This window comes from Homo sapiens, chromosome 13 (genome assembly GCF_000001405.40).
Source record: "Homo sapiens chromosome 13, GRCh38.p14 Primary Assembly".
Taxonomy (NCBI): domain Eukaryota; kingdom Metazoa; phylum Chordata; class Mammalia; order Primates; family Hominidae; genus Homo; species Homo sapiens.
The window spans coordinates 81,292,780-81,308,723 of record NC_000013.11 but is presented as its reverse complement, the minus strand read 5'-3'; the positions used below and the strand labels follow the sequence as shown (position 1 = coordinate 81,308,723).

Below are 15,944 nucleotides of genomic sequence, written 5' to 3'. Positions count from 1 at the left end.
AATGTTAGTCCAGAAATAGTATTTATTCATTAACTCATTTGAAAACAATTTTTGAGAATCTATTTCTAAATCCTATTTCAGATCCTGAGCATAAAAAGAGATGTAAAGTGTAGGGTTTTGCTTTAGTTGCCTTATAAAGAACGAAGCAGTACAAAATAATTTGTGTTATATTAGTTCACTTAATATAAAATATAACACAAAACAATTTGTGCTATATTAGTTCATTTAATCATTTTATTAATGCACTAGGCATCTATGGAATGATTTCTATGTCAGGTACTGGGCCTAGTGTAAGGCAAACAAATGCATAAATCACGTATAGCTTACAGTCTAGTAACAAAGACATCTTTGTAGACAAATAATAATTACAACACAAAGTATTCAATGCCTTCATGGAGCTATCAAGTCTGCAGCATGTTGCAGACTCAAGAATGTGCAAAATGCCTCAAGTGAAGTACATTGACGACTACCTTGGTTCTTACTGAATAAATACAACATTGAGAAACAGATGACAAGGGGAAAGGAGGAATTCTAGCTGGGAAATATATATGAAATTATACTGAGCATTACAAGGATTTTGATTAATCTGGTACAGTTGTACCATAGAGTGTTATGAGCTGACCAGATGTGAGACAGGAGATGTAGGTCCACTTTATGAAAGACCTTGATGGGATTCAGGACATGTTATCCCAAAATATGGCATCTTGTTATATGGAGTATTTTAAGCTAAAAGAAATTGAGAAAACTACATAAGCAAAGGATAACTCAAGTTTCCCCATACCTTTCTTCCCTGAAGCAGGCTATGAAAAATTCTCTGACCTGATCTTCCTCTAAAGAAAATCATAAGACCCTCATTCGTGAGGATCCTTCTCTATACCCAGAGGGCATCAATGAAGACACAGAGATGCCAAGAAGAAACTGAAGAAACAGGCTATGCTAAGTCTCTCCCCCTGGAGTTTATTCCCATCAGATAGTTAGTGGTGGCAAATAACCGAGTTACGGTGGTGAATCCCTATGGGTCTGCAACAACCGTAATTCTTGTCTCCTCAGAAGAAAGAATTTGACTGAGGGGCATGAGGCAGAAAAAGACACTGACACCGAGGCAAGTGTCAGAGCAGGAGTGGAAGTTTATTAAAAAGCTCTGTCGCAGGAAACAACGGAAAGTGCACTTGAAAGAGATCCAAGCAGGCACTTTGGAGGTCAAGTGAGGCATTTGACTTGGGGTTTTATATGTTGGCATACTTGCAGGGCCTTGCGTCCCTTTCCCTGTGATTCTTCCCTTAGGGTGGGCTGCCCACATGCAAGGTGGCCTGCTAACACTTGAGAGGTGAACATGCACAGTGTTTGCTGGAGTTGTATGCATGATCGCCTGAGGCATTTTTACCTTTTCTGGTGGAATGCTTCTGGAAGGTTATACCCTGCCATTTTGTCTCCTAATGCACATGCTGGAGTTTACTCACCCAATTCCTGAGATTTTATTGGAAGCTGCTGATTACCAATTTCAAATGTTTTTATCCCTTGGGAAATTGCCTCTCCCTGGTGCCTGAGACCAATTATCATTTTAGTGTGACAACTGCTGGACCATCAGGAAATTGCCTCTCCCGGGCACCAGCCCAACCAATTATCGCTTTTAGACAGGCAGTGTGATAACTGCTAGACCATCACCTGATTGTCGCCTGACATTCCTCGTGGGTGGGGGATCCCTCTCCTGCCCTGTGCATCCCTAACTAACTACTGTAACAAGATCATACCCTTTTTGTCCAATTACACTTACACACAGCTGTCTGCTCTCCATCAAATTTACACTTGAAAATACACAGTTTATCTTGTTTCTTTTAGGTCTTTGTTTCTGAAGGCTACCATGTCACATAAAACTCGTAAGAAATAGATGTATGTGTTTTTTCTTTGTTAATCTGTCTTTTGTTGTAGGGTCTCAGTCATAAACTTTTTAGTTGGTAAGAAAAAGATCTAATTTTTTCCCCTGCAGCCTTGTAATTCCATATTTTATCTCACAGGTGGTAAAAAATTATTTTAAGAAAGTCATGAGGAATACATATATATACATATACATACATACACACACACACACGTGTGTGTGTATGTGTAGAGAGAATAAAATTGCTTAGAAGAATAACTAGAACAAGCATAGGTAGAAGGCAGAAAATATCTCAAAGTCATTGACATTATTTGATCAAATTCCAATTATTCTTTCTTCTAAACACATAGTAACATTCTACTTTTTGATTCTTTGTGATTTATTGGAGCTTTAAACTAACTCTTACCAGTCAGCCATAAGTGAAAGTCACATGTCATTTTTAGCTTATTGCATCTAATTCCTGATGAGAAACTATTCGTATTATCTTTTCTCTTTCCCACAATAGTACTCTTTCCTTCTTTCCAGGTCTCAGAGAGAGGAGAACAAGATTAAACCAAGTGGCCAAGCTGCCCATGTGGATAGGTACAATGAGCAAGAAATAAACCTTTGTTGTTTGATGTCAGTGAGATTTTTTTTCTTGTGTTTGTGGTGATTAGTGTTGTTACTGCAGTACAACCTATGCTATCCCAGTTCACACAGTTATCACTATGTCCACAAACTGCAGCAAATGTGTCCCATAACTAAAGCAAAACAAACTTCTAGGTGTCAGTAGATTTTATCAAATAACTCTTAAATATTTGCTAACTATGAAACACCATCTGGAGTTAGAGACCAATTTTCCCCATCTCTTGGACTTTGCTTGTTAGAGGTACTTTTGGGAGGTTAGGACATAGCCACCTCATTTCTGGTTCTTCACTCTTCTGATAACACGACATTTCTTTGCCTAGAAGTTTGCCAAAACTGGATCATGTCAGTGAGATAACCTAACTACAATTAAAAGTTCCTTCACTCCATCTCTGGCAAAAGGGTATGCCTATTTTCTTGGTGATAACTCTCACATTTATTACTAGTTCCAAAGACAATTCATGACTTGACTCACCATGGTTAACAAAAACGACTGGGTCTATTATAGTCTTGTTTGACATCCACCTGTCTCTTTTCTTTTTTGAAATTCTGTAGTGTTTTTCAACATCAACAACCAGTTCTCTGGTTCTCTGGATACTAACCAAGTGTGTTCAACAGTTTTATTCAATTCTGACGCTAACTACCCTGAGTTAATGCAGAGCTTACAGGTTATGGACTCGGTCCCATAAGATTGCCAGACCCCATTTCAGGTGCCAGTCATAAGTCCTGGGTCTCTTATACTTGGCTATAAATTAGGGGCTCCAAGACAACCTCCTCAGGTTCAATAATTTGCTAGAATAACTCACAGAACTCAGAAATACACTTTACTGGTTTATTATAAAGGATACAAATGAACAGCCAGATGAAGACGCACATAGGGTCCCAAGCACGGTAGTTTCAATCTCTGTGGAGTTGGGAAGATGGTAGTATTCACCATCTGGAAGTTCTCTGAACCCCATTATTTAGGGATTTTCATGGTTTCATCACATTGGAATAATCAATTGATTTAATCTCTAGCTCCTTTCCTCTCCCCAAAGGTTGAAGGGGAAAGTTTCAGGCTTCTAATCAAGGCTTGAGGTTTCTGGCATCCAACCCCCCCATCCTGAAGCTATCTAGGGGCTGGCAAGAGCCACCAGATTAGAATAAAATCTCCTCCTATCACTCCAACAACACAGGAAACTACAAAGGTTTTAGCTCTGTGACAGGAACCAGTGACAAGAGCCAATATATATTTCTTCCTGAAAAAAAATGCACTTATAAAAATGTTTAAAGATAGTTTCCAACTGTTGCAGAACTTTCTCCAGGGTTCAGCTAAAACTGGGTTTCTGTCACAGACCAGGAAAGATTAGGCTTGTGGACATAGAAAGGTGAGTGGAATTAATTGGGCAAAAAGGAAAGGAAAAATAACTCTCGGCAAAGCCAGAGAGAGTCCTGCTAGCAGGTCTCCCACCTCACAAATTGAATCCCAGGTCACCACATGGGAACTGAAGAGGTCAGGCTCCCCCCCAATTCAAACTGCGTGAACTCTCAGAGGCTCCACCTCGTCCTCCCAGTTTGTAGGTGGGCATTATTCCGAGAGAATCAGTCGGGAAATGTGGGCTTCTTCCGGGACTAGCAGTCCAGTTTTTCAGCCTTCAGGCTGATTTAGGCTTGAAGGCAGAGTTTCGCTGGGGACCCTTGGCTGTCTCCTGTCTCTATCACAACTAGCCAGTATTAGACATCCTCTGGTGAGCTCATGAAATTCTATGTACAAATAGTTCTTTGTGTTAAATACATCTATCCTCCACTTATATATTCTCCCCCAACTATAAAGCTCACTTCAGAATAGTGTTATTTCCCTTAATTTGTGGATTTATTCCATGGTTCATCATGGCTTATGTCCAGTTAACTTTAGTCACTGCATGGATGAATCATTACAGCAAACATACACGTTTGTTTATTTCTATTGTGATGACATTTTCCAAATGCACCTTAGGTCCAATATCCTGAGACATAGGTCCAAAATTGAGACTCAGAAATAGGCTTTTTATATTTGATTTTCCCTTCTCGAGGCACTTTTTTCTAACTTAATGTTTCTCTAAATGTGTGATTTCCCAAAGTGGATAATTTTGCAGCCTCATTCCCTATACTGGAGACACAATTTCCTTGACACTTACAGGAGTGGTTATCAATAACCTGTACATAATTCATCACATTTCTCCTCAGTCCTTCTAGTTTTGAATAAACTGAATTGCAGACAAAGGAATCAAACAGAAATAAAGTTAAGAACTGTGCATGCCTTCAAATTAGGTGGGAAAAGCTGTATATCACTGAGTTAAGCAAAAACATAGTATGAGAACTAAAAAATGCTAATCATTCTCACTGCATGACTTTGACTTTTTGCTGTATAGCTCTTCCTGGTACTCCCTTACTAGTTTAGGCCTAGGAATGTTGACAATTTGCAGAGCAGATGTACTTTCTCTGAATTTCTCTAATTTGTACCATACTAAGCTACTGCACATGATAGCAGGGTAGAGAAAGAGCATACAGGATAAAAGTTTTTATTTATTTATTTTAATTAATTAATTTGATTGAAAGGTACTCTTGCTCTGTCTCCCAGGCTGGAGTGCAGTGGCACGATCTTGGCTCACTGCAACCTCGGCCTCCTGGCTTCCAGTAATTCTCCTGCCTCAGCCTCCGGAGTAGCTGGGATTACAAATGCTATTTTTTAAATTAAGCATTTGATTTTACAAATTTTATGAAGCATAATATGAGTTGTCTTGGATAAGTGGCCCACTATTGTATCATCTCATAGAGTAATTACAATTGAATAAGTTGCTAATTTAAGTGCTTTAGCCAGGCATGATATAATGTTTGCTATTGTTAAATCAAGTGTAGCTGAAAGCTGCCTCCTTACATATTTTAAGTCTCTGTACCTCGTGAACTACAACCTAAGGGGAGTTGTAAACAGACTGTACAACCTAAAGGGAGTTGTAAACAGCCTACTCTTATGCCAATCACTGAGTTTTGGCCAATCAAAGGTGGCCAACCGTTCAAATCATGTTCAAATAAGGCAAACACAGAGCTTAACCAATATGGCTTTTTCTGTACTTCACTTCCATTTCCTGTACCTCATTTTCCTTTTTCTGTCTGTAAACCTCCTCCCACCATGTGGCTGCACTGGAGTCTTTGAACTTCCTCTGGCTCCAGAGGCTGCCCAATTTGTAAAGTGTTCTTTGCTCAATTAAAGTCAGATAAATTTATTTTTGCTAAGGTTTTTCTTTCAACACATTGATGTTAAGGATAATGATGAAAAAAAGGTATTTATTTCTTAACCCACATGGGTTACATTTATATTTATTGCACAATCCTTTTCGGTTACCTCATAACCACAAATAATCAGGCTCTTAACACACCTTTCGGTTTCCATCTCAGAAGAATTAGAGGTAGGGGTGTAAGTTCAGATGAGTTGGGAAGCTCTAGTAACATTTTACACAGGTTAAGCCATCTTAGCCATTTATCTTGTATGAAGCTTCTTTTATTTCTGAAAATAATACAGAATGTTTCATATGAAACCTAGAAGTTCATATAGTGTCAAAGTGGAAAAGCAGTGATGATACTGAAAGGCGGGAAGATCCTAGAATTTGTATCTAGATGTGTCACTTTTCTCTGGATCTGACTCTCCTTGCTAGGAAAAAATAATACTAGTTTAGTTTCCATTAGATTTCAGTATCTTAGCACAAACAATAAGCATACTAAGATAAATATAAAATAATATATTTCAGTCTGGGAAGATATGAATCATATACCTGATTTATCTGCATAGTCACCTTGAGCTTAACACACTTGATTTTTTAAAAGGTTAACCTTATCTGCCAAATGAGTTTTCTCTTCCCCTTGAAAAAGCCTTGTAATAAAAGAACTGTTTGCATTTGCAGAGAACAGGATCCTATGGGAAACAAAGAGCTCATTGAACTCTTTTACATTATGGTAATCTGAAGAGAAACATAAGTCAATATTTTTAAGGCATAATATATGGGCTGGAAACTGCTATTTCCCTTTGGATAAAATAATCCACTACTACTAAAATCTAGGCTCAAGTGCAACTTGATACAAACAACCAAAACTATTCTAAAAATTACTCTGAGGGATTTATTTTTAAAGCAGAATGGACAATAGCTTTACTTGTCACTTTTATTGAAGACAGAACTGTAAAATGTAGCTTCTAGAATCATGGGACTTGGTAATAATTTTTACCTGCAAGCTTTTTGATCTACCCTTTGGCAGTTGCCAGTCTCCTTCTAGAAATTGGATGACAAAGAATAATTTATTTTTTCTATCATTAACTTTGAATAAGTTTGTCAAGGTAAAAGTGAGGTGCACATTTAAGAAACTTGTATCTAGATTTAATGAACATAAGAGTCAATTTGAATGAGGCAAGTACATTTTCAGAAATCTTTAATGGAAACGTTCGTCTCTGAATTCTGTTTATGCTTAGCTCCAACATGCCACAACTTTTGATTAGAACACAATATTTATCTATATACATGTGATTTTGTAAATTAAACTCTGCTTAGGTCGTATTTTTTGTAATAGAAATAAAATGTCTTTTATGTCTCCCAGAAATAAGGTAAGGATAAATTTGAATAAACCAAGTGGATGCAAAATCTGAAGTTTGAAATTGGAGTAATAAGTATGATTCTTGCTACATTTAAACTGTCTTAATTTCATCACCATCAGCACCTATTATTTTTGCATATTTACATATTTTCTAAGCTACTACATACTTTCCCAATCTCCAGCCTGTATCTTTTGAACATTTTGCCTCTATATATTTTTTTCCAAAAATTGACTAAGCTTCTGACTGATCAACTTACTCTAGGATCAATTATACTATAGTGCTGAATATTAATTTGTTTGATACTTTTTTGGTACATAGATTTTGAATGTGTTTATTCTTCTAAACTATATGTTAGCTATCTAAAATCAAAACTTGCCCTTATTTTACTTTCTACTAAGTAATGTGATATTGGCTTTGCACATATAATAATCGATAATTAGTTATAATTAATTTAATACTAATTTTGATAGCAATACTCTGGCAGTCAAATTACAACAGAAGAATAACACAACAATTTTGATTATATTCCATTCCTTTCAGAAAAGCATTTCACTTTCTCTGTTGGCAGTAAAACATTTTAAATTGACTACAAATTTGTGCAAAATCATTGGGAATTGTTATGCTTCTATGCATTTTTAAAGAGTGTATTTTTATTGTGATTCTTTGGATCAGTAATTTTATATGTTTATTTCCCACTTGCTATTTTCAGGCTAATTTAGAGCATCATTCCTAACATTAGTAATGGAGTTTGACATCTCTGGAGTTGTTTTGTAAATAGAAAGTTAATTTGGAGACAGTTTTATATTTACAGAACACTGTCTAATTTATAGAATATAAAATGGAAGACAAACTTAATTCTTTTCTGTTTACACATTCTTAACAAGGATCACAGTTATTATTGTGGACAATCTGAATGGGTATAAATGTAAGTCCTATTAAGAATTTCTCAGAAAAAAAGATTAACCTGAAGAATAGCTTAATTATTTTGCTATTTTTATTCAAAATTCCATCCCTTGGGCATTTTAATGTGAGGTAGGTGTGCATACATTTATAGATAAAAGCTTTTGAAAAGGTACTTTAAAATTAGGCTCAATTACTAAAAGGTGTTTTCCTTTAGATTAAAATTTCCATTGTTGCAATAAGTATGAATTTGGAGACAATAACTGCCTTGCTGGATAGACTATATAGGTAACATCATTCAATGAAATGGCTTCAAGTTACTAATTTAAAACATTATGTGGTGCAAAAGAGCATAGGCAACAGTTAGAAAATAAGTGAAAAATGTATCAGGCTACCTTCAAGTCAATTCCAGCAATATGCACCTAAATAAATTACATGATGCATTTAGAAAACTAAAGTGTATGGTAATAGCCATTACTCAATACATCGCATAGGTGATCTTCCTAGACAGACGGTCATAATCAACTTCAGATATGATTTGGATTTAAGTATTATCACTAAGGAATATAGTATATGTAATAAATGTATATTATTAGGAGTAAAGACGGATGGTGCTTTAAAGTCAAATATTTAATAAAGATAATGCATTAGAAAAGAGTGCAATCACTTGCCCTCATTTTGGAAAATATTCTCCAATATTACTGGAAAGTTATATGGTTCTATTAAAATAAAATACTCTTTCTATAAATATACACACAATTCTAAGTAGCTATTACTTTGTTACTGAAGCAATGGATACAAATCTCTGGAAATAGTTTCTGATAAGATAAATAATTTCCTAAAATAAAACTTACACTCAATAATTTAAGATGGAGTACATTATTCTGTTGCTTACATTGAAGGTGCTATGGTTTGAATGTCCCCTCTAAAACGCATGTTGAAATTTAATTGCTATTGCGATGTTGTTAAAAGGTGGGACTATTGGCTGGACGCGGTAAATCATGCCTGTACTCCCAGCACTTTGGGAGGCCGAGGAGGGCGGATCACGAGGTCAGGAGATCAAGACCATCCTGGCCAACATGGTGAAACCCCGTCTCTACTAAATATACAAAAATTAGCTGGGCGAGGTTATGTGTGCCTGAAGTCCCAGCTACTCAGGTGGCTGAGGCAGGAGAATCGCTTGAAGGAGGTGGAGGTTGCAGTGAACCAAGATGGCACCACTGCACTACAGCCTGGGCGACAGAGCCAGACTCCGTCTCAAAACAAACAAACAAAAAAAAACAAACAAACAAACAAAAAAGGTGGGACTATTAAGAGGTGATTAGGCTACGAGAGCTCTGCCCTCATGAATGGATTAATGTTGTTATCACAGAAGGGGCCTGACTGTCATCATGAGAGTGGGTGGTTATAAAAGTGAGTTTGGCCCTCTCTTGTCTCTCATGCCTTCTTACCCTCTGTCTTTCCTCATGGGATGACACGGCATGAAAGCCCTTAGCAGATGTGGGCCCCTGGATCTTGGACCTTCCAGTGGTATTCTGTTACAGCAATACAAAATGAAGTCAAATAGATGGAAATAATACAAATGCCAGGCACATTTATTTGATGATTTTAAACATAGAAAAGACCTATTTGGTTTAATTATCAGTTCTTATTAATATTCTGTTTATAATTCCTATCTATAATGTTCATTAACTTTGAAAGTTCTACTTTTTAAAGTCATAACAAATTTCAAACAAATCAGTAGAGGATAATAGGCCATTATGCCCTCATAAACTTACTAATTATAAAACAACTAAAAAGTGTAGCTACCATGAAAATCTTTGACATAAATTCTAAAAGGTGTCTAAGGGTGACAGGAAAGTCAGTATCATTCAAGGAGAAATATAAGAATGACTAGCCAACATTGATAAGTTGTTTAAAGAAATATATATTTAAATGCACATAAAATATCCTAAATATAATACATGTCTGATGTCAATTATGTCGGACATAATACAGTGACCAGGTTTTTCAAATTAATCATAATTAAGGACAGACATAGATTAAAGATACATTTTAGAATATTATACTTACTGCTACCTGTGTGTGGCAGATGTGGTGCTTGTAAAACTGCTCCTGTGAAGCATGACTATATTAGTGGGAAGGACATCTTCATCATTTAAGAATAAGAAATGTGGTCTGTCAAAATTATAGTGAAAACTATTTGCATTCTATTGAATTATATACTTAGATAGCCTCATCTGTTAGTCCATTTTCATACTGCTATAAAGAACTGCCTGAGAGAGGGTAATTTATAAAAGAATTAGGTTTAATTGGCTCACAGTTCAGCATGGCCTCAGGAAACTTAATATCATGATGGAAGGCAAAGGGGAAGAAAGGCACCTTCTTCACAAGGTGGCAAGAAGGAGAAGTGCTGAGTGAAGCGGGAAGAGCCCCTTACAAAACCATCTGATCTTATGAGAACTCACTCACTATCACTAGAACAGCATGGCGGAAACTGACCCCATGATTCAATTACCTGTACCTGGTCTATCCCTTGACAAGTGGGGCTAGGGGGGTTATGGGGATTATAATTCAAGATGAGATCTGGGTGGGGACACAAAGCCTAACCATATCACCACATAAGAAGAGTATAGTGAGAGGTCTATAAATGTGTTATTTGCATTTGGTTCAAAGAGTAATATTCTGTTGTTTATCCCTTCAAAGTTGGACATTTTATCCAATTAAAGAGGAAATAGAAATTATCTTCCTGATCATCATTGACATCATTATAAATATCATCATGTTGAATACCATCATCCACAGTATCATCACTATAATGATCATCTTCATTATTAACTTCATCATTATCAACATGAATTGAGTTTTTGCCAGGTAAAATGCACTTTGCTAAATGCTTGAAGTGCATTTTTTTTCTTTTAGTCTCTATAATAATTCTGTGGTATATGCTCTGTTGTTCCTGTTAAAAGATGAGGGAAATGAAGCTTAGGAGAGTAATTTTTACATGACCAGCTAAAGAATTTGACTCTCTAATGTAGTCTGTGTTCCTAAACACTACAGCAGGTCATAGCTCACATACTGAATTGACTGCTGAACATTATAAAAGTAATTGCATTTATTGTAATGATTTCCAAACATCTCTTTTCAACCATCAGCTGATAAACATAGTAATAAACCCCAATGTACAACTTTCTGATTTACTTCTTATCAGACCACAGAAATCCTTGTATCTTTCTGTTTCACAGAGCCACCAAAGGGAACTTGCAGCCTACTTCTACCAATCATTCTGGGTTAAAATCTGTTAAAGGGTTGACTAATTGCAAGCTTTACCCCGCAGGTGGGAATTTTGTGTTTTGTTTGTTTGTTTGTTTCTTCAATACTTCACGTTTATTCCTACTGTCATTAATTTAGTTTTAGGAAACATTTTATCTTACATACGCTATTTTAAAGTATCAAAATTACTTTCCAATTTTAACTCATATTTCCAAATAGGCTTAGTTTTCAGCCTACTATGTCTAAACTACTCGTCATGACTGTTCTACTCCAAAATTTCTAAGGCTTTTTCATCTCTAATAAGCTAAGTCCAAATTACTTACTATTCCATTTAAGGATTTCCATGATTTATTCTCAGCTTTGTAAGTTGAACGACAGCTAATGTGGTTCATTCAACACTTTGTCATGTATGACATGATTTTCTAAATTTGCACCTCCTGGGTTTTTTGCTTTTGCTTTCTCTGACATCCTCCAATTTCTGTTTGTAAGAATCAAGTTACATAACTTTCCATCAAAGACTCCCAGTGAATTTTTTACAATTTTAGAAAAATTAAGAAAAATTAAATTCTGTGGAGCTATGCAGAGCTAGGAAAGATTAGTGCTTGCATTTCATAAGTTGTAAAGAGTATATTAGGCATAATGTGCATAGGACAAGTTTGCAGGAAGGTTCTCTGAACTTAATTATAACTTTCTATTAAAAGAAAGTAATATGTCCACAAGGGATGCCAAATAAACATCATTATTATCACCTAATTGGAGGTAGCAAAGGCAGGAAATAGAGATTACACATGGAATATGTTGGGAGCACACACTTTTACTGCAGTAGTCAGTAGCCATTTAAAATAGTGAAAGAAAAAGCTGCAAGGTCCTTGGTATCTACAGAAGATAGAATAATGTAAGGTTGTCTCTAACTTGACAGTATGTTTGTTAGGAATAAGCAAACTGGGCTTTCCTACAGCTGGATATGCCAAATAAGTCAATCAGGATATTGACTGATTGACAGTAAGTGACTTCAGACACATACACATACACACACACACACACACACACACACACCCCATAGCTCAAAGATAAATTACAGAGTGTCCACTGGTCCATTTCTCTATCTAAGCCTTTCAGGTTATAGTACTGCTGGCCTGTTAAATAAATTCACCATGTCCATTTATACCCTTAAAATCAAGGCAAATATTATAATAGTATTCAGAAAAAAAAATCAAGAAAAAGTAGCTACTCTAGGAATAGACCCTAAGACAAGGATGCTAGCTGAGGTATTTTATTTGAGAGGTATAACAAAGGCTGATATAGGAGTGAGGAAATGTAAGGGATAAGTGTGTTGTCAAGTTAATTACAGCTGCAAGTGACTAAAGCCTAATTCTGCCTGGGAAACTGTTTAAAACACCTAACTCAATGTTATATGACCATGCTAGCCAAGAAATTGAGGAAATCACACATCAACTCTTGTCAGTCTTGGTTTAGGGATAGGGGGTGGTAAGTGTTAATTTCTTGGCCTCTCTCTTTTAGGGCACAAACACTAAGGTTTGGGAAAAGGCCTGAGACAAAGAGAAGCAGTTCTGGCAGTTTGAATTCTACACACACTGAGCTATAAGGCAGGAAACCTGTAGATGGGAGTATCCACAGTCTCTCCTATGGACAGGGGACTTATAGAAATATTCTGCAATGTAAAGGAAAACAGGTTACTCATGAAATAAAAAAATACATTTGAAATATTAGCTAAAGAAAAGCAAAATAAAATTTGCACCTAATTTAATTTTGTTTTCAATAAATACCAAAAAGTAGGATTTTTATCAAAAACATAAAGGAATCACACTGAAAGTCTTTCACCTAAAAAATGGAAATCAGAAAAGAGAGAATGGATCCATAGTTTCCTCCTTTTCTTTGTTGCATCAGAAATTTCTCTCTCTACTCTTTCCTGTCCTTCAACATTTAAATGTACCAAGAATCTCTTTTTTATATAAAAACAAATAAATAAGTAAGAAACACTCTGACTCCCTGGCTGTCTCCAGGCAACATAGCTTCTCTATTCTCCCTGTGCTTGGAGGCTTCAGGAAGGGCCTCAAACCAGTCACTGTATTCATTTCCTCAATCTAATTCACTTTGAAAATTACCTCAAGGTAAATTCTACTTTGATCTCACTGAAAAACTGGTGGTTACAAAGAGCCAACATTAAATAAACCCACAGGACACTTTTCAGTCCTTAACTTGTTTGACCTCTGCATAGCATATGATATTGTTCAACACTGCTTTCTTCTAGAAACAGTCCTTCTCTTCTTTAGTGTAACACCAATTTTTTGTTTTTTTCTTTGTTTTTCTCCTATTCCTCCTATCATTGTCAATTCCTTTGGTTAAGCTACTGAATCTACTGCCAGGTGGTCAAGGAGTATCTGATCTATTATTTTGGATAGTGACAGAGATCTAGAAATCTGATTGTTTTTCTTAAAGACTTTCCATGGAACATTTGCTTTTCAGCTTCATCTAAGCCTCCACCTTTAGCAAAAAATTTGAATTTCTACCTCCTAAAACTTTCAGGCTACCTGCATGCAAAATATCTTTCTTTCTGCTTTCTCTCACTACAAGTTCTTAGTTTTTCCTCTGCTCTGTGGAGTCCCTGGCTATTATTAGTATGTTTTCATGCTTCTTAAAAAATTGATTATTTTTTCTCTGATTCTTTTTGCATATGTAGGTATAGACTTTCATTTTTATTCCTTACCATCATTTTAAAAATATATCAGAAAAACATAGAGGTGGAGGTGTATCAGTCAGCATTTCTTGAGTAACAAACACAATGGAAACTTGGAAAATATATATATACATTTATATTTCTCATGCGTACATCTGCAGGTCAGTTGACGGGCTCATCTGTAGTCTGGGAGCTGTTTCTACTCTGTGAAACTCAAAGCATCCCTTGTAATGAAGAAGTAATGACAGATACACACGAAAACAAGTCAAAACTCTGCTCTTGCCAAGTATATTAATATCCCATTGTGAGAGCAAGTTGCATGACTATGAGGCCATCTGTAAGGGGTGCTGTGCACTAACACAGGGAAATGAAAATTCTAAACCAATAATCCTAGCTGCTATAAGAATTACATACTTGTGTTTAATATGCCATGTAACATCCAAATAAGATTATATATGCATGTATTTATTTTGTTTTTAGCACTAAATAAATCACTTTAATGCTCAATTGTAAACACTATATATACTGCACTCTCTTAAGTATAAGACCTACTTGTCAGTAACCCCAAAAAGGCATTATTTAAGGCTTCTGATAACTTTTCCAGTTCATTCTCCTTTTCTTTATTTCTTTCAACACATATACCATGCACTCGGCACCATTCTTAACTCAGCCATTCTTAACTATCAGAATTCCTGGAATGTAATATGATCTACATCAACTCACGGAATTTAAAGGGAATTCTGTTTCATAGATTCTGAAAAAACCCTTTTTAAGTCAATTTTGCTTAATCAGCCAAAAATATTAATAGCAAAAAGGACTTAAAGCTTCAATGGCTCAAAAGGATTTCCAACAAGCAGTATTATTGAGCCCTTGAAAGCTTCCTGACCAAGCAATCTCTTTCTGCACTTGCTGATATGTGTTTATCTGAGCATCTTTTACTTAGCCCAAAATAGGCTAAGTAAACATTGAAAATCCATTGATAAAGCTAATGACCCTTTCCTTGTTTCCACTTCCTCCACATGATGATATGCCTCAGAGTTTCAGAAAACACCTCTTCAGCCAACATATCTTCATTTTATCAGAGTCACATCAGTATGTCACAAATGCAAGTTTCCATGAGACTAGAGCATTATTCTATGTCTTTTTTAAATCAATAGCAACACGATCACTTCAGTTTTTAAAGAAATCTGGCAGGGATAATAGAGTTAACATTACTAATTTTTTTCCTGACAGCTGAATTAACAATCAAATACTATTCTTAGTACTGACAATCTGGATGCAGCTAATGTTAAAAATACATAATGCAAAAAACATTACCCATGTTACAAAAATAAATAAGCAAACAGATAAATGATAAGCCATTTGAAACCAAAATGGCACCACCTTCACAAGCAAAAAACAAATAAAAATAAAACCTATTAAAAAAGAGTTTATATTACAAGGAATAAAGTGCCCCTTTGAAGTGTATCATCACTTTCAGATACTGGCAAAAATTCTGTTAATTGTGTTATTTATTTGCTTTAGTCTCAGGAGAATCTAAAACGCCCAACAATTTGAGAGAATTATGTGATCAGATGTTTTGGTATCTATGTTATCTGGTGTAATGGATATTTGTTGTTTTTTCTGCTTGGCATATCTTTGTTTGGGGTTGATAATACTTTAATTATTTTTATATTTCTGAGCCACATTTATTCATTCTAAGTTAAAGAATCCAGCTCCATTGATGAGGATGAGACACAAGTTATTCTGGAAAAGTCTACCTGTTGCCTATGCAAAGACTTTTACTTGAATGACAGAAAGGGAGTAGAATTTTTATTTCTTGAATAACTGAGAAGTAAGATTTCCTAGGCCACTTTCCATTCTTTGGTAGTAAATATTTCTGGTTTTTCCTGCTACCTCGAATTTAACTGTGTCCTTGGCAAGCTTAGACTTATCTTGGCCAGTAAAATATAAGTTAAATTGGTGTAAGAAGA

The 15,944-nt window shown here is 35.7% G+C and overlaps 1 long non-coding RNA gene across 1 annotated transcript; it reads right to left on the bottom strand.

Annotated features, from left to right (window-relative positions):
* Nucleotides 1-5,999: 5,999 nt before the first annotated feature.
* LOC105370281 (uncharacterized) lies at nt 6,000-10,115 on the bottom strand. Its single transcript, XR_942123.2, has 3 exons — nt 10,074-10,115; nt 9,452-9,535; nt 6,000-6,167 (listed from the first exon to the last, which is right to left on the bottom strand). It is a non-coding gene; the product is annotated as an uncharacterized LOC105370281 (long non-coding RNA).
* Nucleotides 10,116-15,944: the final 5,829 nt, after the last annotated feature.